Raw genomic sequence first — 25340 nt, 5'->3', positions numbered from 1 at the left:
ACACATGCACACGTATGTTTATTGCGGCACTACTCACAATAGCAAAGACTTGGAACCAACCCAAATGCCCATCAATGATAGACTGGATTAAGAAAATGTGGCACATATACACCATGGAATACTATGCATCCATTAAAAAGGATGAGTTCATGTCCTTTGTAGGGACATGGATGAAGCTGGAAACCATCATTCTCAGCAAACTACTGCAAGGACAGAAAACCAAACACCGCATGTTCTCACTCATAGGTGGGAATTGAACAATGAGAACACATGGACACAGGAAGGGGAACATCACACACCAGGGCCTGTTGTGGGGTGGGGGGAGGGGGGAGGGATAGCATTAGGAGATACACCTAATGTAAATGACGAGTTAATGGGTGCACTACACCAACATGGCACATGTATACGTATGTAACAAACCTGCATGTTGTGCACATGTACCCTAGAATTTAAAGCATTAAAAAAAAAAAGAGAATTTAAAACCCAGCACAGTGGCTCATGCCTATAATCCCAGCACTTTGGGAGGCTGAGGAGGGAGGATCACTTGAGCCCAGGAGTTCGAGACCAACCTGGGCCACAGAGCAAGACTACGTCTCTACAAAAATAAAAACAAAAAAATCAGCTGGGCACGGTGATGTGTGCCCATAGTCCCGGCTACTCCAGAGGCTGAGGCAGGAAGATCACTTGAGCCCAGGAGGTTGAGGCTGCAGAGAGCCGTGATCGTACCACTGCACTGTGGCCTGGGTGACAGAGAGAGACCCTGTCTCAAAATAAATAAATAAATAAATAATGTCTTAAAGGATCACTGGATTTTAAGAGACAGACTCCCTCCTTTTGTCCAGAGGAGATTAAGAATGGAAGAGAGATTTTTCTGAACATCTATAGTAGTTAAAATAATTAAACTGCTTGGGTCTCCAGGACTAATCTAGCTTTCACAATCGAGATTTCCATCTGCTGGGCTTTGATTGGCCAGCAGCGACCCAAAGCCGGTAACAAGGCTCATCTCATGAATTTAAATGAAAATGAATATTAGGGAGTCAAACAAGTGGTTCCCAAACCTGGCTGTGCACCAGAATCTGGGGACCCTCCATGGGCCCAGCGCAGCAAATCTCACGGGGTGGCCCCAGGAGTCTAACAATTTCCTAACGTCACTCCCAAGCATGCTGGATGTGGGAACCACCGGACCAGACACAAGCCCGTATTTCAAGCCCTCAGACAGAGCCCCAGGTGATAGGCTCCCGGGCACCCGCGCGATGCTCAGCTCCCGCTTGGCCCATGCTCAGGAGAAAGTGAGCCCATGGACAGGGTGGGGCTCATCCCCACCTGGAACAGAGCCTTGGCCGCCTCGTAGTCCTGGATGTCTTCATAAATGCGTGGTTCTCCTTCGTGCAGAGCCATCTGGAAGTCTCCAAACAATATGGGATCCCTCATCACCACCTCCACGTCATCTTTAAAATGTTCCACAACCAAGCTGCCTATGTGCTGTTGTACCTTGAAACAGAAGCCCACTTAAGGACCCAAACTCAACAACAGTACACGGCCTGAAACTTGCTAGGAGCAGAGGATACGTACTATTATCTAAAATAATTTGCGTTCTATTTTTTTTCAGTTGCTGCAAGACGCTTAATAACCCACCCACCCTCCTTTGCCCCATTGACCTTTCGTGCCTATTTTTCCACAATTCGCGTCCTAATATAAAAAACACTTTTGGCGCTTGTTTATTTTCCTGAGAAGAATTTCCTGAGAAGAAGCATTGGATGTACTGACCAGCTGCTTGTCTGTTTCACTGATCAGCCGGTCGTGGAAGACTCTCAGACACTCATTCCTCCAGACTCTCACCATCTGGGCCACCGTCTGGAATCTGCAGAATGGAAGGGACAAAAATCAGCCAGGAAGTCACCTGAAGGATACCAGGGCTGACGGCTGTGACATTCAGACAGACAGACACACAGAGCGCAATAAAGGCCCAACATTTCTCCAGTCGTGCCCCCCTAGTCTCACGTTAATGAAATCTAACCAGAGAATCCAACAGAAGCTAAGAAAGTAATGTAAACCCCCTAAAGTCATCATCCGTAGCTTATCTTACTGTAGGAAAGAAAAAAAGAGCGTTGTCTATAAATGACGTAAAATAAGTACCTGACATCATCCCTACTTGTTGGAATACATGAATTTAAAATCAGCATCAGGGTCACTGGCAACTTCTTTTTCTCTCTTTTTTCTTTTTTTAAGAGGTGGGGTCTCGCTTTGTTACCCAGGCTGGTGCATTGGCACAATCATAGCTCACTGCCACCTCAAATTCCTGGGCTTAAGTGATCCTCCCACCTCAGCCTCCCAAGTGGCTGGGACTACAGGTACATACCACCACACTCAGCTAATTTTTTAAATTTTTTTGTAGAGATGGAGTCTCACTATGCTGCCCATGCTGGTCTAAAACTCCTGGGCTCAAGTGATCCTCCTCCCTTGGCCTCCCAAAGTGCTGAGACTATAGGCATTAGCCACTGTGCCTGGCCGACAGCTCCTTTTTCTAAGAGCCAACTCAATCTGGCCCCAATTCCAGAACTTTCCCTGCATTCTAGCAAAGAACCGTCACTCCACCTGAAACACCTGGAGCTGCCCTCTCCTGACCGCCCCTGACAGTCTGTATGTTTCAAGGCACTCAAAAGCAGGATACATGGAAAATTCTCAATTCATTTTTCAGTATCTTCTGGATTCATAATATGAATCCACATAATTGGACTATGCTTGCAAATCCACATAGACTAAAGTAGACATTCATGTAAAGGTATAAGCCTAGTTTTAATCGGGAATTTCCCTATATCGTGACTTAAATCCTTTCTGTCCTCTGCTTACTTCTCATAAAGACACACATCCTATAACCAACCGGCAACGACTGAGTTATGTGAGCAAAAGGCTCCATGCAGGCAAATTCCAACTTCAGAACTGAAAACGAGAAGTCAACAACACAGCCTGCCCAAGGGGTGTGATAGGCTTGTCCCCACTTCTGCTTCTCTTGGTTTTGCCTGTTTCAATGCAAAGGCTTACAAAGCATCAAGCCTTAAGCCAAGTGTTGGTCTCTCTTCTTCAACATAAGCAAAGACATTGGGTAATTAATTCATACAACGATTCATCAAATCCACTGATAAGCCCTCTGTCTTAAAAGAATAAGAAAACTATCATACCTGTGGGGCATATTTTAGTAAGATAAATCAAACTCACCGCTCCGGGTTAGTGAGGACAAGACCATTAAAAACCCGTGAGAGATCTCGAAGGTTGAAGATGTAATGGAACTTTGACGGAGTGGGAGGTAGGTCTTGCACAATATTTTTGTAAAGTGCTAGCGTGCAGAATGTCAGCTTGCCACTCACAGCCACAATGCTCTCATGAAACGTCTGAAAAATGCAAAGACACCCCCCCCAACACACAAATGTCCTTCAGTAGATGAGTGAATAAACAAAATGTGGCAGAGCCGTACAATGGACTATTACTAAGCTATAGAAAGGAATGAAGTTGGCCAGTCACGGTGGCTCATGCCTGTAATCCCAGCACTTTGGGAGGCCAAGGTGGGCAGATCACCTGAGGTCAGGAGTTGAAGACCAGCCTGACCAACACGGTGAAACCCCATCTCTATTAAAATAAAATATAAACATTAGCTGGGCATGGTGGTGCGCACCTGTAATTCCTGCTACTCAGGAGGCTGAGGCAGGAGAATCGCCTGAACCCAGGAGGCGGAGGTTGCAGTGAACCGAGATCACGCCATTGCACTCCAGCCTGGGTGACAGAGGGAGACTCCATCTCAAAACAAAATAAAACAAACCAGGAATGAAGCACTGACAGACACAAGCTCCAGCACGGATGACCCTTGAGAACATGATGAGGAGTGAAGCAAGCCAGGCACAGAAAGCCACGTGCTTTATGACTCTATTTATATGAAATACCCAACATGGAAAACTCCATGGAGACAGAAGGTAGAGTCACGGTTCCTGGGAATGAGAGGTGGGATGGGAGTAAGTGCTAATGTGTGTGGGTTTCCTTCCAGGGTGATGAAAATGTTCTGGGGTTAGACGTTGCTGATGGTTGCACAACGCTGTGAATGGACTAAGTGCCACTGAATTGTATACTTTAAAATGGCTATAATAACGAATTTTGTGTTATGTGAATTTTTTTTGAGATGGGGTCTTGCTCTGTTTCCCAGACTGGAGTGCAGGGGCATGATCAGGGCTTACTGCAGCCTCGACCTCTTGGGCTCAAGTGATCCTCCCACCTCAGCCTCCTTTGTAGCTGGGACTACAGGACACCATCATACCTGGCTAATGTTTCATATTTTTTGTAGAGACAGGGTTTCACCACATTGCCCAGGCTGGTCTTGAACTGCTGGGCTCGAGTGATCCGCTCTCCTCAGCCTCCCGAAGTGCTGGGATACAGGTGTGAGCCACCATGCCCAGCCATTATGTGAATTTTACTACTTATTTTTAATTTTTTTATTTTTTTATGTATTTTAGATTGAGACTCTGTTGCCCATGCTGGAGTGCAGTGGCATGATCTTGGCTCACTAAAGCCTTCACCTCCCAGGTTCAAGCAATTTTCCTGCCTCATCCTCCCAAGTAGCTGGGACTACAGGTGCCTGCCACCACACCCGGCTAATTTTTGTATTTTTAGTAGAGATGAGGTTTTGCTATGTTGACCAGGCTAGTCTTGAACTCCTGACCTCAAGTGATCCACCTGCCTCAACCTCCCAAAGTGCTGGGATTACAGGCGTGAGCCACTGCACCGGGCCTGATTTTTTTGTATTGCTCTAGATTTTCACATTAACTGTGAAGTCAACATGATGTGAAACCAAAGACCCCAACCAGCCCTCGGTGGGAGTTTTATTTGACCAGCACGGACCTCACCGTTTTGAAAGCAAATGCCTTCAGGTAGGGCATGAACGGGCCAGGTGCTCATAGTTCCTACTGATCAGGCCTGGCCACTCCACACCTTTATCTTACCCACCTGGCCCCTGGAGCCTCCGAGTGTGCAGACTCCGCTTTAGCAGGGAAACGCCAGATCAGAAGATGGTTGTTTAAATGAATGGGTTCCATTTGGAGGAGCCAAGTAAATCATAATAATAACAGCAGTAACTAGTAACCAATGAGTAGCTGCTATGCACTAGGCAGTGTGCACTAGGCACCCTTTACACGCATTTCTCTCCTTTCATCCTCCCAAAACCCAGTGAGGTGGGGACCATCATGATCTCCCCGCTCCAAATGAGAATGAGGTTAGGAGAGTTCAAGAGACCTGCTCCCGGAGCAGAAGGGGACTGACTCCAGGGCCCCAGCCTGCTAGTTGATTCTTCGCTGTCACTCAATGTGGCATGAGCACCTCAGGGCCACATCAGGACTCCCACGGGCCCAAGGCACTTTTACCTCCATGGACCTCTTCCTCCATAAAAATACATTACAATTACATTTTATAATGGCATCGTATAAAGATGATTTTTTTCTTCTGATTTTGCAAGAAATTAAAACATTTTCATAGGCCCTTAAAAGTATTGAGGGCCCTAACCCTGCTGTGCCTACATGGATAAGTCAGCCCTGTGTATGTTTCCCCCCAACACAAGGTCTTCCGGTTTAGACTTCTAGTTAAAATCAAGTTACCGAGGTGTGGCCTTTCAGGATGGAGGAATAAATTAAATGCAGAGACTCCTCTGAAGGAAATGGCACATTGAAGACACTGAATAGCGAAATAAATCTTGGGTCAACTTCATTGCGGCCTCCTCCAGCCTTTCCCATTGCAGCAATAAAGCCAAGGTCTCGAATGCTTTTACAGTTCAGCTCCTTCCCACGGTCATATAAGTAGCCTTTTTCCAACAGCAGCTTCAGCAAGGCAATGGGCTGCTGCGTGCCATATTCATCCACCTTGATTTTTTTTAAAAAAGAAAAGAGAACAGTAGTATCGCAAAGTAGGAGTCAGAGAGGCGTTGGCTGACCATCCCAGCTCAAGCTCATTTTTCCCGTTACTCTCCAGGGCACCTCGGTTTCAGTTTCATGGGGCTTCTCAAAGGTTGCAACTGTATATATCCATTTGTGATTGTGTTTTTTGAAGTTTGTCTCCCTTACGATACTACAGCTTCATGAGGGCAGGAACTGCATAGGTGTTGACTACACAGCACCAGTCCCATAGGAAGAGCTGAATAAATATATGTTAATTCAATTAATGAACGGATGGATGGATGGACAGATGGACGAATGGACAAATTGATGGATGGGCAGATGGACAGACAGATGGACAGACAAGAATTCAACAATGCAGTGCCACCCAGGGGGTGTGATATGCCTGTCCACACATCGACACTTCTGCTTCTCTTGGTTTCACCTGTTTCAACTCAGGGGCTTACAAAGCATCAAGCTTTAAGACAAGCATTTGTCCTTTCTTCATTTAACATAAGCAAAGACATTGGGTAATTAATTCATACATTGATAATGACAGACAGATTGGACCATCCATTGAATGGATGGATGGATGGATGGATGGATGGATGGGTAGATGGATGGATGGATGGATGGATGGGTGGATGGGTAGATGGATGGACAGGTGAATGAACAGATGGGTAGATGGATAAATGGACGGGTAGATGGATAAATGGACAGGTAGATGGAAAAACAGACAGATGGGCAAAAAGAAGAATAGATGGATAGATGAACAAATCTATGAATGAATGGACAGATGGATGGTTGGATGGGTGAACAGATAGGTAGGTAAATAGCAGATGGGTGGATGAAAAAAACAGACACATGGATGGATGAATGGAAGAACAGACTGATAGATGAATGAACATATGGATGGATGGATGGATGGATGGATGGATGGATGGATGGATGGACGGACGGACTCTGGCTTTGCATACAGTCCTTCTGGAAATAGACTTTCAGAAAAAAATGGTTCAATGAAATAATATAAATTTAAATTCTAGTATGCCAAGAAAACTTTGCACTTCTCAGGCTCAGATCCCAGAAACATACTCATAATGCAGCTGAAGTTTCTCTTCCTTGAAGAGTCCAGCGGAATTCTTGGGAAGGGTCTGTCCTGATGCCTCCCATGTACACGGGGCCAACAACAGTATTATTATCTAAATAAGAGCTCCTTTGGAAACCACTTCCTCAAATACATGCTGAATTTAGTTCAAAGGCTGCTGGCTGCCTGCTTCCCTCCTCTAAGAAACTAAGGAACATGATCAGTCAGGGAAAGGTCCCTCTGTGTAAGAAGAGCATCCCAGGTACATTCTGCCTTAGGCTGGCTCCCCGCAGCCTGTACCCTGCAGACATTGCACAGAGGTAAAGATCAATGTTCTCATACTCACTTCTAACACACACACACACCCATGCAAACACAAGCACTGTCTTGACCCATCCCTCCACCTGCTTGAGCGTCAAACTACCCTTGGCATATTCATGTCATCCATGAACACCAGCAGGCGTTTTCCCATGGGTGGGCCGTAAGTATCTTTGGTTCGCTTTTCCACATTTGCTTCTAAATTTCTTTGGATATCCATGGACGTGGTGCGGGAGGAGAAGTTGACCATTAACACAATCTGAAGCAGAAAGAGATGATGTGAAAAGCCAGCTTTTTCCCCAGGGTAGCAGCAGTAAACATTTGCAAATAAGCTAGCAACTATTTTGCAAATCCATTGGCCTCTGAACTAACTTTTTAATAACCCAGTGTGAGACTGTGCTTCATTATTTTCTAAGTGCTAAAGTAAGAGTTCCTCTTTCCTTTCAGCAGATTGTATGAGTCAATAGCGAATTGTCGCATGTGAGCCTTGGGGACAATGTGGCATACAAGAAAGTAGACTGAGGGTCTTGTTTCTGCACAGTTCTAGCAAGGCGACTTCCAAAAAGTCATTCAACCTTTCAGAGCCTCGTTTTTCTCACTTGTAAGACGATCGTAATGGCATCTCTTAGGACTACTTCATAGAGCTATTGCATCGTATGAGATGCAATATCCAACAGTATTTTCAATATGACAATATTCAAACATAAATCACTATCATGCTGGCTGTATCTAAATAGGTCAAAGAGAGCATGAACAAGTGGTTCAGGCTTTGGGACTAACTGCCGGCAGGAAGGGTGAGGGAAGCCCCCTGGATGCTCATGCATGTGTCCTCAGGCCCTCCTGCCATGCTTAGGCTGGCGAGAGCTCCTTGATTAGTGGTTCTCACACTTAACTAATTATGCATCAGCTCCACCTGCAGGGTTTGTGCCACACACCTTGCTGGGCTCCATTCCCCAGAGTTTCCAATTTGGTAGATCAGGGTGTTTTTGTTTTGCTATTTTTAGGAGACAGGGTCTTGCTCTGTTGCCCAGGTTGGAGTGCAGTGGTGCACAATCATAGCTCACTGCAGCCTTGAATTACCAGCCTCAAGTGACCCTTCTTCCTCAGTCTCTTGAGTAGCTGGGACTACCAGGCACAAACCACCATTCCTGGTGGTCTAGGGTATTTTTTTAACAAGTTTCCAGTGATGCCAAGGCTGCCGGTCTGGGGACCACACTTTGAGAACGAACCTCTGCCTTCCATAACTCTCTCCACGTAGGGCACCCAAAGTGCAGGTGCACATGAGCTGAACGTGTTGAAGCTGAATGTGTACCTTGCTAAAGCCACTGTGTTCAGGTGTACCTGGCTGGGCTGATGAGCACCAGCTGCAGAGTCCTGGGGTAGGGGTGTTGTGAAGGAGGCTCCCAAATGCGGCTTCCTAGTGCCTGACTCCACAAACCTGCAGGTCCCTCTGGCTGTAAACACTGCCATGCTCCCTGTGCACATCTCCATGTTTATCCCCCCACTGCCTGCAAATCCCTACAGAACAGATCTTGACAGCTTGTTCACTATCACTTGTCCTGTGCACCCTGCGAATTCTATGCCAGGTACATATCCGACCCCCGACACATTGGACACATAGCTGGCTGGAGGAAGGAAAGGAAACACTTGCAAAGTTTTAGAAACCCAAAAATGATGGTGAATAATGTGACAGCCAGCCTCCAAAAGGGCCCCAGATCATACTCACCTCCAGGTGTCCATGCCCTGGTGCAGGTCCCTCCCACACTATATCAGGGTGTACAGGGTGGCTTCTATCTCACCCATAGATTAGGGCAGAAGGGAGGGTATGTGACTTCCAAGGCCAGGTCATAAAAGACATCATAGCATCTGCTTTGCCATCTATCTTAAGCACTCACTCTACCATGTTGAGCACACCCAAGCCATCCATGGAGAGAGCCACATGGTGAGGAACTGAGGCCTCCAGCCTCCAGCCATGTGAAACGTCATCTCAAATGAGGATCCTCCAGCTCTACCCAGGCCTCCAGGTATCTACAGCCCTGGCCAACAGCTTGACTGCAATCCCATGAGAGCCTGAGCTAGAAGCTCCCAGGTAAGTCACTCCCACATTCTCGACCCACGGAAACTGTGAGATCACAGTGCTTGTGGTATGAAGCTGCTATGCACTGGAATAATTTGTTACACAGCAATAGATAATTCATATGAATAATGACTTACGTTAGTTTCTTCACTCAGATTTTTGAGGAAATTCTGGGTAGTGGCTGTCTTAGAAGTGCCAGATTCACCAACAAAAATAACAGGTTGCTTAATTTTAACCATTTGTTCCAATATCCAGGTAGTCCGAGTGGTATCCACTGTGTGAACTAAAGTAGACATTAGGAACAGGGGCATCTCAGCAACTCCAATAGGGTGAGCACTGGGGGCAACATGGAGTTGTCCTAGAACCCCACAAATCCCATAAAAAACAGGAGCAAAGGCCAAGACATGACCTCAGAAACATTCACCCATTGAAGTGTATAACTGATTGACTTTGGCACAGTTCTGCAGCGGCGCGACCATCACCACAGTCCAGGGTTAGAACGCCCAAGCCGGTTTTGAGATGCAATTCTGACTTATGCCAGGATATCAAAAACTCAGCTTCTTTGTTGCTGACATCACTCAGACCCCTGCGGGATTTAACTTCCTGAGCAACACCTTCCTCCGAAGAGACAGTGAAGCCACAGCATCGGGTCTGGCTCCCTCTTGCACTGGCAGGTTTCAACCCTGATGGGCTCCCGAGAAAACAGGGATGTCTCACTCCGTAAGCTCAATGGACCAAAGTCAGACACATGCTTTGTGAAATTATTCAGCCCATATTTTACCTGAATAGCCAGCCTATATTTTATCTGAACAGCCAGAGGGGTGCATTCTAAGTGTGGTTCAGTAGGTAAACGCCCATGGCACACAGCTTTTCAAGCCAGCGCCCTTTATAAAACACTGCCTCGTTCGTTGCCGTCTAGTCCCCACCCAGCCAGCTCTGTGGACTGAAGAGAGCCCAGGGAAAGGCCAGGGGAGGCGAAACGGCATCTCATCTGCCTGTGGGGATCGGCCTGCTGGGGAAAGAGCTGAGAGGCAGAGCCACGGAAGATGCTCAGAGCCAGCAGCTGACAAAAATACCAAAGCGGCCACCCTCCATGCCCAGGAGGGCCCACAGCTCACCCTCTTCAATTCTTCTCTACCAGCTCTCTGCGTGGGACTTAGAGTACCAGAGAAGCCATGGGATCTTCTTTGCCTCCTCCTAGAGCGAGTATCACACACTCCTAAACCCAGGAACAAGGATTTGACTCTGACTTACCCAGGATGTTGATGAATTTCCTCTCGGGGGCATGAATATACTCTGGAACTAATTTACTCCATGGGACCCATTGATTCCGTTTGTTATCAAAATGAAAGTCATACAAGGTTGGAAGTTGACCTGCAGGAAATCATGGTTGATTTCACTTGAATCATAAACACGGAAATACAAAAGCAGTTCTGGCACATGCTTGAAATGAACTAATGTTGCTTGTACTGCACGGAGGCCATAGTGAGTACTTCAATGCTGCTCCTTCACTGGACAGATACCGAGTACCTTGAACTAATGCTACTCATCACTGGACAGATGCCAAGTATTTGGAGCTTATGCTTCTAGTTCACGGGACAGTCACTAATGTGACTTGTGCACTTGTCAGGCACTTTCTGAGTATTTTCAACTAACACTTCCCTTTCACTGGACATACACTTCCCTGGGAATACAACAGTGAAGCAGAGAGCCCTGGTCCCTACCCTTGCAGTTGTTCGAGGGCCAGGTGGGGGACAGATACAGGCAAGAAGTGGCCATTTCAGTGTGGAGCCATAAGTGCTGCAGCAGGAGAGGGGCAGGAACAACGGACAATGCGGGAAGGCAGCAACCCAGGCGGGGCAGGGGAGAGATGGAAGCTGCAGGTGCCCGAGTAATCACCATCGCCTCCGCTCAGGCCATGCAAGGCTTTACTTGAGCATGTCTAAGAGCTGACAGGATGGTAGAGAGGCGGAGACTGAACATGAGAGAGAGAGATAAACTCAGATGGAGCGAGGAGCCTGAGAAGGAGGAAGGGGCTGGGTTGGCCTTGGCTGGGGTGCAGTGGGGGTGGCCTCTTCCACTGTAAAAGGAGAAAGTCAGAGACAGGAGCTATAGGCTTTTCAGCTGGAAGGAGAGATTCCTATCAGACAGCTTCCGTTGTTCCTGTTGAAGCAGGGAGAAAGATCAGCTGCGGAGAGCGCGGAAAGGGCAGGGTAGATATTTGGGGAAAAGGCCCAATGCTCCTTTGGAGCCAGGAGTGAGTGTGCCAGCTGGGGACTGGGATTTATGGAGACATCTGTCTTTGTGGCTGCATGGTCTTCTCCCTGTCAGCCCTTAGACAGGCAGAGAAGACAGACTTGGAGTTTTCTCGGAGGGATTCAGCAGAGCAATTAGGCAAGGCATGCGGAGGTCTCAGGCAAGAGTGGCTGAAGTGAAGGCCACCAGCCAAGGAAGTGAGGATGCAGGGAAGGGGCAAGTATGGGTGCTCGAGGCAACAGCAGACACTGGGGCGACACAGTGTCCATCCCCATGAGGCCAAACAGAAACACATGTGGCCCGAGTCTCAGAGGCAGAGTAGGTGGAGAGCAGGATTTGTGATGCAGACATGACAGTGCCAGAGATCACCGTCAAGCGTATGCTCGAGGGCCTGCAGGGCTGAAGCTGTGAGCAGGTGTCTGGAAATGGGATGCCCACAGGGCCATTCAGGCCCCCAAGATGAGGGCAAATGAGGGAGACAAGCCAGGGAAGCAGGCCAACATTGTCTCCGAGTGAGGGAATTGCAGATGGCAGCAACGCACAGCCAGCGTGGCTGGCGGAGCTGAAAAGCACTCCCCAAAGGGAGATTTCAGTTCTGGAAAAGTGCACTCAGACTCCCACCGAATAAAGCAGGGACCTGAAAAACATCTTTGATTTGCTCCATGACTGTCCATTAGAAAGACCGGAGGCCATTTCATTTTAAACTTTAAAAAGACCACCAGGTAAGGAGTATAAAATACAACTTCAAAAGCCATCTACATTCCAAGCCATGCTCGAATAGCAATAAGAGATGGATAAAGAAGGGTCCTACCATTGCATATAGACCTTGGAGAATGCATCTTTTTCATCATGTATGATTCATTGAAGATGCACATTTTTGTGCAAAAACATAAAATGTTAATTGTATGATTTCCTATGAACGATTTACAAATCCACACTTGATTGTCTACTGTGCAAATACTCAGGAATACAGCAGATGAATGATATGGTGAAAATGGAGATAGATGGTTAAAAATAAAAATTAAAAAGACAGATAGGGAAGCCCACAGAAGAAGAAACTCAAAGTCATGCAGAATGTGAAAAGTTTAAAGAGCAAAGGAAGCAAGTGCCTAAGCTGAGGCAAGAGAAGTTGACTCTCATCCAGAAAGACCACCCAGAGGGCCTGGGCTTCTGTCACAGCAGTCAATGCATGTGAACCGCTCCTGGGTGTTCCGCCATGTGCTCTGACCATTGCATGTTTCTCTAAAGAAGCAAACAATCTGGAAAACTCATACAGACAGAAATATGGAAAAGCTCATTCACTTCCTCTAGAAATTTAACCAAAGGCACTCAGAGCAGGGAAACAGGCGACACTCGGTTCCCACCTGGCAGTTCCCCAGGGTTGGCCCAAACTCCTTCTGTGTCAACAGTAGACAAAGAAGCAAGGCGTTTGATATATTCGTCAAATTTCATCCTTCCATCCTCAAGCAGGGAGGCTCCCAGAGAGCAGTACAAAGCCTCCAGGAAGTAGCACTCCAGCAGGTCAAGGTCTTCTATTTCTCCTTCTAGCAACGCATCCAACATCTTGGCTAACTGGGTTACCTGGTTCACAGGAAAATATCTGGTTCAGCCCACATAGTCCACCCCCACAGAGTCCATTCCAGTCATAAATCCTGGGATCCCAGGTCCCAGAGCGATGGGAGCATAAGACCCAACATGTTGGTTCAGACAGATGGAACCCAGTATCTTGACTTGCACAAAAGCAAGCACGGCGCCCGCCTTGGCACTGACCAACAATGCTACTGTTCACCCTGTCTGGCATCTTCACTCCCTTTAAAACCCTACCGTGAGCTTGTCTTTAGGAAAGAATTTCTTTTTGCTAACAGCAGGGATCATTTCTTACCATATTGAGGTCTGTCTGAGGAACTATTGTCTTCAGCTTTTCTGCTTGTCTTCCATCCACAATTCCTTCCACTATCACATCCATGAGATAGGGCACATACTTCTCAAAGAGACTATTCAAATTGTATTGCTCCACCTATAAAAAAGTAGCATTCCAAAGCATTTCAAGGGTTTGTTTATTTAAATGGAAGTTAGTGGAAAGCTTTTCTTGCCCAAAGAGGGTTGAGCAACATCTTCTGATGAATGATACATTTGGCAGGTGAGGAAATCCTGATAATAGTGCCCTATATTTGCAGAGAGATTTGTCCTCTGCAATATGCTTTCATCTCATCATGAAGTGTTTCATTTCGCTGCCACAGAGTCTACCATGCCCTTGGGGAAGAAAAAGGGAAGATAACAGGTCCCATTTGACAGGAAAGAGGCTGATCATCTTAGAGTTCAAGTGACCACAGTCATCCAGAAAAGACTGTAAAGCAGTGAAGGTCCCCTCCCTATCAAAGCACCAATCACCACCAGGGATTGCAAGGGTCCTGAGACAGCTGTCTCCCACAGGACAGTGCCTCAGATGGTTCTGTCATGCTTCCTTTGTTCTTCCTTTGTTCTGCTCTTTTCTGGCATAATTATGTCCTGGTTTCCATTCACCTCCAACCTAGTAGCCCTACTAGAGACACACCCAGAACACCTGTGTTCCTTTGAGAAGGTGGTCGTAGCGTCCTAGGTGTGGTTGAGCCACAACCCGCACGTGACTGTCACATCCATCTCTGCACTTTTCACAGAAGCCTTTTGTTAAGACAACACACACTCTGGCCTGTCATCTGTTTTGTAAATAAAGGTTTATTGGTACACAGCCATGCCCATTTGTATACAAATTTCTGGCTGTTTTCATGCCACAACAGCAGAGTTGAGTAGCTGTGAAAGAAATCATATTGCCCACACAAAGCCTCAGACATTTACTATCTACCCCTCTACAGAAAAAGTTTGTCAACCTCTGGTCTAGACCAACCAATCCAATCATTACCTATCCCACTGGCTATAAACTATCTGAAATTAAATAAGTGTGTCGGTGTGTCGGTGGCTCACGCCTGTAATCCCAGCACTTTGGGAGGCTGAGGCGGGCAGATCACGAGCTCAAGAGATCGAGACCATCCTGGCTAACACGGTGAAACCCCGCCTCTACTAAAAATACAAAAAATTAGCCGGTCGTGGTGGCGGGCGCCTGTAGTCCCAGCTACTCGGGAGGCTGAGGCAGGAGAATGGCATGAACCTGGGAGGCGGAGCTTGCAGTGAGCCGAGATTGCGCCACTGCACTCCAGCCTGGGTGACAGAGCGAGACTCCGTCTCCAAAAAAAAAAAAAAAAAAAAAAAAAAAAAAAGTGTGTCTGCCATGTTTTCACTTATTTTGTGCTCAGGGACATGGGCAGGTCAAGGACAAAGTCATCGCCTTCAACTACAAACATCCCTCTGGACTATGTTATCCAACTAGCCATCAATACTAATAAATTTAAGTTCATTTTAGAAAAAAATTTCACCTTGTTTGGTATTTGATTAACCCATTTTTTCCAGTATGGTCGATATTTCAAGTTTTTAGGATCCACATAAACCATTCCACATCGAGAGACAGTTGCAGGGGAGGCATACTGTAAATCTCCAACCTGGATAAATAAAGAAAATCAATCATGGCTATAGCTATACACAAGATAAACTAGATGTTTAAGGACCTTCTCTTATGGAAAGTTTTTACAACTGCATGAAATCCAAATAATACCAAAATCAACACAGCTTCCATGAGCTTTTTAACTGAACACCTGGGATTTTGATGAGAAGATTACACACTTCTGATGTAACATCTTTTTGGTTTTTCTATTATAAAATTAATGTGAAAATTAATACGTTGTAGAATATCTGACAAAAAATAGAAAAATATAAAGAAGAAAATAAGTTATCCAAATCCCACCACCCAGAAACAAATGTTGTTTTGGAGTGTTTTCCAGTCAATCTTTTTTCTTTATTATTTTTTTAACATAGTTGAGATCAGGCAGTATAAAACTTCATAAGTACAAAGCTAAACCAGATATATTAACAAACCTAGCTCTCTCTACAAAAAAAATATAGTTCAGTCAGCTAATCAGATAATAATATGTACAAATATTTCATGCACTGACAAATTTTACAGTTAGAAATGGCATTAATACTAAGCTAGAGTGAAAGCAAGTCCCAGGGCCACACCTATGAAACGAGCAGTCCATATCCTAAGAGATAGAGGGCTTTGGAGAATAGCCTCCAGGAAATAAAGGGGCTCGACAGAATACTTGATATGATAGAAAGTTTAAAAAAAAAAATGAGATTAAAATAAAGGCAAATAGTGTGAGGGAAAAAAAGGAAGGCAATTACAAACTCTAGACAAAGGAAATGGCTCTAAAAGAAAGTAAATGTAATCGTAGTATATTAGTTGGTTCTTCAGTAAATTATTTCTATCTTCATTATAATGTAAACATTATCTACTGTTAACCAACTTAGCAATATACTATTCTGACGTTAGTGGTATAAGAGATGAATTCTCACTTTTGTAGCAGTCAGTCAACAGATAATGTATAAACTATAAAATGTATAAAGGAAGAATATCATGCTAAGCCTGTTACTTATAGACACTAGGGTAATCATCAGAAGAAACAATTCATAAAAAGTAAAAGTAGTCACTTCTGGGATAAAGAGGGATGAGAGGAGTAAAGAACAAAGAGTTGTATTCATTATAAACCCTTATGCATTGTTTGTTTTTAAATAATCATCTACATTTACTACTACTTTAACAAACATTTGCATTTTTAATTACAAGAAAGATTTATGTTCAAATTTACTTTTAATCACTACTTGCCTCAAAGAGCAGGGCACAGTGTGCTTGGAGCCGGATGCGTTCCCCGTTGGCCAATGTCAACAACCTGTTGTCATCCATCACAGAATTCATGTTTTCCACCCATAGAGCATCCACATCACCATCAAATAAAATATACCTGCAGCAACCAAAGAAAGGAGAGCCATGGGTCCTAGAGAGCTTCCAATTATGGAACTTGGTATAACCTGCCCATTCATGTTGAATGTCTTTTTCCCAGGGTTTTCTACCCAGTATCTGAGACAGAGCACCCTAGTTGGCCCAGAGGTTTGACTGAAATGGTACATAAAAAACTGTAATCCCAGCACTTTGGGAGGCCAAGGTGGGCGGATCGCGAGGTCAGGAGTTCGAGACCAGTCTGGCCAACATAGTGAAACCCCGTCTCTACTAAAAATACAAAAAATTAGCCAGGCATAGTGGTGTGTGCCTGTAATCCCAGCTACTCAGGAGGCTGAGGCAGGAGAATCGCATGAACCCAGGAGGCACAGGTTGCAGTGAGCCAAGATAGCACTATTGCACTCCCACCCAGGCAACAGTGCAAGACCCCGTCTCAAAAAAAAAAAAAAAAAAAAGAAAAAAAAGTTTGAGTTCTTTGCCAATATTTAAGAATGAGGGAACTTCACACAAAAATCTGAATTTCTCACTTCTTGGGCAAGCTGGAAGTTCTGAGCACACAGACCTGGATTCCTTCGTGGGAACAATCAGCTGATGCTGAGTAGTGGCTGCCCATGAAGACAGAAAGTGTCATAGTCCCTGCCCCTGCCACAACTCCTACCTCATTCTTCTCTTACATCTGAGGCTGAGTATCAATTGCTATTTATCACTGGTTTTAACCCCTGGTTTCCTGTGGTACAGTCAAGAATAAAGAAAGTATTTTGGATGTCCATGTGTAGTGGGTCGAATGGTACCCACCCCCCACCAAAAGATGTGTTCACCCAGAAGCTGTGACTGTGACCTTGTTTGGAGAAAGGCCTTTGCAAACGCAATTAAGGATCTCAAGATGTGACCATTCTGGATTATACAGATGAGTCCTAATCTAATGACAAATGTCCTTATAAGAGAAAAGCAGGAGGAGACATAAGACACACAGAGGGGAAGGCCAAGAAAGAGGCAAAGTTTGAAATGATGTGGTCACAAGCCAAGGAACACCTGGAACCACCAGAAGCAGAAGAGGTGAGGATTTGCCCTAGAGCCTTCGGAGGGAGTGCAGTCCTGCTCACACCTCTTTTTAGACTTTTGGCCTCCAGAACTATGAGATAATAAATCTCTGTTGTTTCAAGCCACCCAGTTATTTGTTATGGCAGCCCTAGGAAACTAACACCACCATGTAATTTGCTCCACTTCACTCATTTGTGCTACCTGCTGGGTCCCTGGGAGCATCTGAGTTCACAAGCCCTGGGTTACACACCATGTGTCCTGGCAGCACGTCTACGTCCAAGGCCTCAGGTATTCAAGCTTCAGGATGGTTCCATTTTGTGGCTATAATGGGTGACATCTCATGCAGCAAAGCCCATCTCCACAGGACAGAGGCTATTCTACTGTGCTGAAATGGTGGTTTGATAGTGCCTCCATTTAACTCACTGATATAAGCAGTTAGATCTTTTTTTTCCAGGATTAACATTTTGGTTTATTTCCTTCCTGTATTTTTTTCCTTTTAGCTTTTTATTTTTAAATAATTTCAAACTTACAGAGTTATGAGAATAAAACAGTATGAAGAACTCCCATATGCCTTTCAGTCAGATTCCCCAATTGTTACGTTTTTTTGCCACATTCGCACTCTCTCTTATTCTCTCTCTCTGAATCATTTGAGAGTCAATTGCAGATAAAATGCCCCCTTCCCCTAAATACTTAAGCAAGTATTTCCTAAGAATAAGCACCTTCTCTTACACAACCACAGCAGAATTATCAAACTCAGGAAATGTAATATTGATACAATACTATTATCTAATGTATAGTCCACATTCAAATTTCACCAGTTGTCCCTATAGAAAGTCTCCATTTATATTCACTATAAAAGGACTCAACGGCCAGGCATGGTGGCTCACACCTGTAATCTCAGCACTGTAGTTGGCTGAGGCAGGAGGATTCCTTGGGCCCAGGAGTTCAAGACAAGCCTGGGCAGTACAGGGAGACTCTGTCTCTACAAAAAAAAGCAAAAATTAGCTGGGCATGGTGACATGCACCTGCAGTCCCAGCCACCTGGAAGGCTGAGGTGGGAGGATTGCTTGAGCCCAGGAGTTTGAGGCTGCAGTGAGCCGTGATCATGTGACTGAACTTAGCCTGGGCAACAGAGCACGACCCCTCTCAAAAAAAAAGAAAAGAAGAAAGAAGAACAAGAAGAGGAAGAGGAGGAGGAGAAGAAGAAGGAGAAGGAGGAGGAGGAGGAGGAGGATGACCAGATTCAAGTAACCATCAACAGATGCTCCAAACCATTGGGTGAATGGGTGAAGGTTGGATGAGAAATGGGATATTTACTTAGTCATAAGTTATCTCCCTAGAGTTGCATATCAACTGCAAAGAGGAAAATGGCACCTTAACCCAATAATCAAGATTAACACCACCCATAATAGGGCAACCAACACCATGTGCCCGTGATGAGATGCGGAGAAGGACACAGCATCACTCCTGCAGCCTTCCTGTCAAACAGCCATGGCCTGAATCTAATTATGAAGAAGCAGCGGACAAACCCAAACCGAGACCATTCTCTAAAACGGTTGGCCTGGAATCCTCCAGAACAGGAAGGTCATAAAAGATAAAGAAATCCTGACGAACTGCTCAAAATTAAAGAATGCCAAAAACAAGACAACGGAATTCAGCGTGGAATCCTGGGTTCATCCAGAATCAGGGGAAAAGCGCTAAGAAGCTGTTTTAAAAGCCATGAGTTGGGACTTTGGACTCTTGTTATTTAAGGATTTTATTTATTATTAATGGGATTTGATTAGAACATAAAATCAGAACCATTCCTGAGTTTAGCAAAGAGATATTATAGGACCAACTAAAAGCTTTTTACCTTACACACCCTCAGAGCATTTCTGTACTTGGCCTCACTTGGCCTTTGCCATGGCATGTGGTGATGTCATCAGGGCACCATCAACCACGTCTACAGATGGAAAGCCGTGGCTCAGGAGGGCATTCCTGCACTTTCCATGGCCCTTTGCTACCTTTCCTTGACTTACCTTGCCATAGAACGTGGTGATCAGGCAGCTTGATGGCGGCTGTGTTTGAGAACTTAGAGTCACACAGATCAGGGCCAAATCCCTGGCCTTGGGCCACATTTCTGACCTTTTCTAGGCCTCAGTTTCCTCTGTGGTAAGCTGGGAACAATCCCGGTACCTACCACATTGCATCACTAAGACAACTGAGGTCACACATAAAAAGCACTAAGATTGGACTGCGCACTTCCGAAGCACAGCCTCCAAGACTGGACTCTAAGTCTGTTGAAATCCAAGCATGAAGCTACAATGTATAGTCCTGCCACCGTTTTTAATGTTGAGCTAATTAACATTAACTAACCCAGGCTCTTTCCTACCTACAAAGATACTCACTTTCGCTCCTTCTTGTCTGTTGGCTTGTTGATTTCCCTGAAGATGTTTGACAACACCCCATCTGTCCAGTCTCGGGTGGTTGGGTCCAGGATGCCGTAGAGTTCTATGACACTCACGGCTTTGGGGTTCAGGATGTACAACTTTGTCGTCAGCCCAAGCCTAAATCAAGAGAGGCTTTAGCCATGGTTCAAGACAACTAAATGCATGAGGAAAACAGTCTGGGTTCCCTCTATGAGGAATTAGATGTTTTGACTTTAATCCAAAATTGAAAATGCAACCCATGCAAACTCTTCACTGGGCTTCCCTTCACTGTTAGTGCTTTCTTCTAAATATAAAGCAACCACATTTCACCAAAAATGTGGCCACAGCACAAATGAAGTCTGAACTAGAAGCACAGCTTTGCCTCTGGAGGGCACCAAGAAGCTAACTTTCATGTATATTTCATATTTATGCATATTACATATTCATATATATGACATTTAAGTAAATATCTCAGAATTAAGGGCGTATAGGAGACCACACTCAGTCATCCACGATAATAACAAGGCTTTGGACTACTAATGTTCAATCCTCCTTATCTACAGAACAACAGCTGCTCTGTTGACTTCATGAATCAAGCAGACAGGGCATTTCTCACCACAGTGCCTGTAAATCCCTGCAGCACTAACTATAGGATTAATTCATCTATAGAGAACAAAACTTCACACACTCCACAGTTCACAACCAACGAATCAGTAAATCATAATGTACATGCTATATTACACATGCATACAACTGTGTGATAGTTCTATAAACTTACAATGAATGAATTAAAGAATGAAATGCAGATGGCCACGGCACAGCCCACTTAGAGTCAGTAAGCCACTGTCGACTGGTTTTCTCATATGAAACATATGAAGAAATAATGGGAACATATGACAGACACTTACTCTTTAGATTTTATAGACTGCCTAGAAATGTTTAAGTCACAGAAACTTTGGCTTGATTTAGATTTTTGCCGGGCTATCAGCATCCACGGAGGTCTTTCTGGAATCTAGTTATTGCTTAGAAGAGAAGTGAGGAGTCAGGAATCCACTTTCAGTAGAAGGCTTTCAATTCACTGCAGGCTTTTATGACATACTCTCCTTTTTTTTTTTTTTTAGAGAGAAGGTCTCACTCTGTTGCCCAGGCTGGTGTGCAGTGGCACAATCCTAGCCCACTGCAGCCTCAAATTCTTGGGCTCAAGCAATCCTCCCTCCTTAGCCTCCTGAGTAGCTGTACTACAGGTGCACATCACCACACCCAGCTAATTTTTTTTTAATGTGGAGACGGAGTCTCATTATGTTGCCCAGGCTGTTCTCAAAATCCTGGACTATGGGATCCTCCCACCCAGGCCTCCCAAAGTGCTGGGATTACAGGCGTGAGCCACCATGCCTGGCTCCTTTACGATCTTCAATGTGGGAGTGTACGATCACTTTTTCCTTCGTGAAGAATTGCCCCCGAAGGGCTAGCGATTATAAGGCACCCGGGGAGGTGACATTCGTTTTCTGGCCACTGCGAAACCACAGCAGTACTGCATAAGGTGAATCCTGACTTACTTTAAGGAAGCAATTTGGACCCCAAGAAACTATGACTTACATTCATTTTCAAAATATCCTTATAAGATAGTTTGTGAAATTCTCATTTCACAAATGAACCTATTCACCATCTGATGCACAAGCGGGTTGCTATTTTGCATTCTAAAATATCTTAACTAAGTCTGCAATAAAGTCAGTAAAAACACGCTGAGTCGAAAGGGGTGTGTATTACAAATTTACCCTCCCAGGAAATCAGAGAGCAAAGTGGGACTTGGTAATACTGGCACCAAACATATACTGTGAGCCCCTGTGGCAGCCAGGCCCTCCCTACGGAGGTCATACTCACTTGGTCTGGGCCTGACACAGAGTGTTAATGACGACGGACTTGCCCCCTCTGGTGGGCCCCACCACCATCGTCGTGTGGCGGGTTAACATGGTCTCGAACATTTGAACCACTTTATCCACCTGCGGGACAAACAATGGCAGCTGGGCTAAAACATTATCTTTTTTCTGACGCAGTTTTATTGCGATACAACACACACGCCATACAATTTACCTTTGAAAGGGTACAAGTCAATGGTTTCCAGTATATTCACAGAGTTGTGCAACCATCCCCATGAGCAATTTTAGAACATTTTTATCACCCCTCCCCACAAAAAACCCTGTACCCATCTCTCCCAATCCCCTTTCCCCCAGCCCCTGGCAACCACTCATCTACTTCCTGTCTCTACGGATTTGCGTATTCTGGGCATTTCATGGAAATGGGATCCTAGAATGTGTGATCTCTCACATCTGGCTTCTTTCGCTTAGCATGTTTTCAAAGCTCATCCATGTTGTAGCACGCGTGCTGCATTCCTTTCTATGGCCAAAATATATCCCATGGGATGGACAGACCACATTCTGTTTCAGCAGTGGATCCATCAACTGATGGATGTTGGGTTGTTCCCACTTTTTGGCTATTATGAATAATGCTGCTCCGGACATTCATGAACAATTCTGAGCGGACGTTCGTCCTCATTCTTGGGTAGATCCCCAGCAGTGAAATTGCTGGGTCTTATGGTAACTCTCGGTTTAACCTGTTGAGGAACTGCCAGGCTGTTTTCCAAAGTGGCTGCACCATTTTATATTCCTTCCAGAAAACACATCTTTTTCAACAACCAACTCCAGAGAAAATCAGGGTCAGGAAAAGCACAGAAAGCTCTCGTCCACGGCCGGTACCCGGTGCCCACTGCCCAGGCCTGAGGTCTCCGGGGTAGCCTGACACCCTGAAGCTGCCCGACCCGAGGCAACCCCCCAGGTCTGGAGGCTCTGGGCATTTACACTCTCAGCAGGACTCTGCCAATCAATACGTGTTTGGCTTAATGACAACATATACAACTTACAGGCTTCAGAGGATCCAAATCCTATCCCTGCAATATCTAATTTAATTTTTTTTTAAGTGTGACTCAGGAGAAAAAAAAGGTGAGGTGAGGAAAGAACCTCTGATGGTTGATGCCTCAAAACAAAATATTTGAGTCACCTGATCACATTGTGTGAAAAAAAACTATATATATAAAATTTAGCCTTAAAAAGGAAGAAATTCTGACACATGCCACAACATGGATAAATGTTGAAAACACTGTTAGTGAAATAAGCCAGACACAAAAGGACAAAAATTACATGATTCTACTTACAGGAGGTACCTAGAGTAGTCAAATTTGTAGAGACAGGAAGTCGAGCAGAGGTTGCCAGCGGAGGGAGGGGAGAAGGTAAGCTGTTAACGGGTGTAGGGTTTTAGTTTTGCAATATGAAAACGTTCCAGAGATGGATAATGCTGATGGTTGCACAGTAATGTGAATGTACTTAGCACCAACAAACTCTACATTTTTTCTTTTTTCTTTTATTTTTTGAGACGGAGTCTCGCTCTCTCACCAGGCTGGAGTGCAGTGGCACGATCTTGGCTCACTGCAACCTCCACCTCGCGCGTTCCAGCAATTCTCTCGCCTCAGCCTCCCAAGAAGCTGAGACTACAGGCGAGCGCCACCACGCCCGGCTAATTTTTGTATTTTTAGTAGAGATGGGGTTTCTCCACGTTGGCCAGGATGATCTCAATCTCTTGACCTCGTGATCCACCCGCCTCAGCCTCCCGAAGTGCTGGGATTACAGGCGTAAGCCACTGTGCCCGGCCTAACAAACTCTACATTTAAAAGTAGGTAAGATGGTAAATATTGTTATGTGTATTTTACTGTGATTTAAAAATGGGGAAAAATGGTTAAGATGGTGAAACTTATGCGTATTTTACTGTACATATATTTTTAAAGAACTGCAAAAACAAAAAGCCAATGGAAAGGATGCACGGCCACAGTGAGGTCATTTTCCTGGCTTTACCTGGATGGGTAGGACCGCGTAGCCGTTCTCCTCCAGGACCTGCTCTACCGCATCGTTGAAGTCAGGGTAGCGGACGCGAGGGCAGTCCAGCCCAGGAAACAGATCCGAAATCAAACCAAGGAAAAGAGGAACATCTTCAAACACAAATTTGGGCAAGTTCATGTCTCGCAAGGCCCTCATCAGCACCACGTCCTGCAGGAAATGAAACACATGTTTCCAAGAGATTTCCAAAGGAACCCAGTGCTTTGGACTGTGTTTCCAACCCAGTGGTAACACTCTTATGAAATATAAAATATAATTTTTATATAAACATTTTATTATTTTTAACAATTTTATACACATTTAAAATTACATAATTTTAAATTACAGAAATTAATTTAAATTAATTTAAATTTAAATTACAGAAATTAATTTAAAATTATATAATTTCTGAATATATGTATTATATATTTTTATATACAGAAATTATATAATTTTATTTTTTATTTTATATTAATATGTAAATAAATATAAATTATATAAAATAGTTTACATGAGATTAAACATAAAATATAAAATATATATTTCATATATTTCATATAATATGTACTTCATATTATATAATATACACATATATGGCCGGGTGCAGTGGCTCATGCCTGTAATTCCAGCACTTTGGGAGGCTGAGGTGGGTGGATAACCTGAGGAGTTCGAGATCAGCCTGGCCGACATGGTGAAATCACATCTCTACTAAAAACACAAAAATTAGCTGGGTGTGGCGGCAGGTGCCTGTAATCCCAGCTACTCGGGAGGCTGAGGCAGGAGAATCGCTTGAACCCAGGAGGTGGAGGTTGCAGTGAACTGAGATTGCGCCATCGTACTCCTGGCGTGACAAGAGTGAAACTCTGTCTCGAAAAAAAGATAGATAGATAGATAGATATACACACACACACACATATATATACACATACATATATATTTAAATGAAATATAAAATTTAAAATGAAATATAAAATTATATATAAATTATATACATATATTACAATTTTATATAAATTAAATTTTATAAAATTTATATATTTTATATCATTCATATAAATTAATTATATTTGTATTATTTATAAATTATATAAATTTATAAATGTATATAAAATGTTATGTATATTATATAGTATAAAATATGTATAAGATATTATGTGTAATATGAATATATGAAATTTCATATTTCATATTTAATAATGATCATATAAATAATATAAATGTAAATATGCATTTTTCAAAGTTTCATATGAAAATAAAAATGTAAAATAAAATATATAAAAGTGAAATATACAATACAAAATTGTATATAAATGTAAAAATTAAATAAAATATAAAATAGGAGCACAGGCAGAGGAGTGAGGCCAGGGTGGGCCTGCTCCTAGGAGGCTGAGTGTCCTGGTGGGCCGTGCAAGGAGAAGAAAACAGATCTCGGCCAGAGGGAA

At 44.3% G+C, this 25340-nt stretch overlaps 1 protein-coding gene across 12 annotated transcripts in view; it reads right to left on the bottom strand.

Moving 5' to 3' along the window:
* Positions 1-25340, bottom strand: part of DNAH10 (dynein axonemal heavy chain 10) — a 173420-nt gene that overhangs the window by 54596 nt on the left and 93484 nt on the right. For 10 of the 12 annotated variants that reach the window (NM_001372106.1, XM_017018960.2, XM_011538016.3 and 7 more), the window contains 14 exons: positions 23878-24069; positions 21857-21975; positions 19955-20113; positions 16395-16530; positions 15052-15174; positions 13524-13658; positions 13006-13222; positions 10640-10759; positions 9523-9668; positions 7415-7567; positions 5634-5894; positions 3217-3389; positions 1768-1861; positions 1324-1491 (listed from right to left, as the gene is read on the bottom strand). In NM_001372106.1, the coding sequence (NP_001359035.1) occupies positions 1324-1491; positions 1768-1861; positions 3217-3389; positions 5634-5894; positions 7415-7567; positions 9523-9668; positions 10640-10759; positions 13006-13222; positions 13524-13658; positions 15052-15174; positions 16395-16530; positions 19955-20113; positions 21857-21975; positions 23878-24069 (2196 nt within the window). Of the gene's footprint in view, positions 1-1323; positions 1492-1767; positions 1862-3216; positions 3390-5633; positions 5895-7414; positions 7568-9522; positions 9669-10639; positions 10760-13005; positions 13223-13523; positions 13659-15051; positions 15175-16394; positions 16531-19954; positions 20114-21856; positions 21976-23877; positions 24070-25340 lie in introns of those variants that run through there. The other 2 variants (XM_011538014.3, XM_047428477.1) reach the window with 2 other exon arrangements.

Source organism: Homo sapiens, chromosome 12 (assembly GCF_000001405.40).
Source record: "Homo sapiens chromosome 12, GRCh38.p14 Primary Assembly".
NCBI classification, from domain to species: domain Eukaryota; kingdom Metazoa; phylum Chordata; class Mammalia; order Primates; family Hominidae; genus Homo; species Homo sapiens.
The sequence above is the reverse complement of the archived record's forward strand: the minus strand, read 5'-3'. Positions and strand labels throughout refer to the sequence as shown.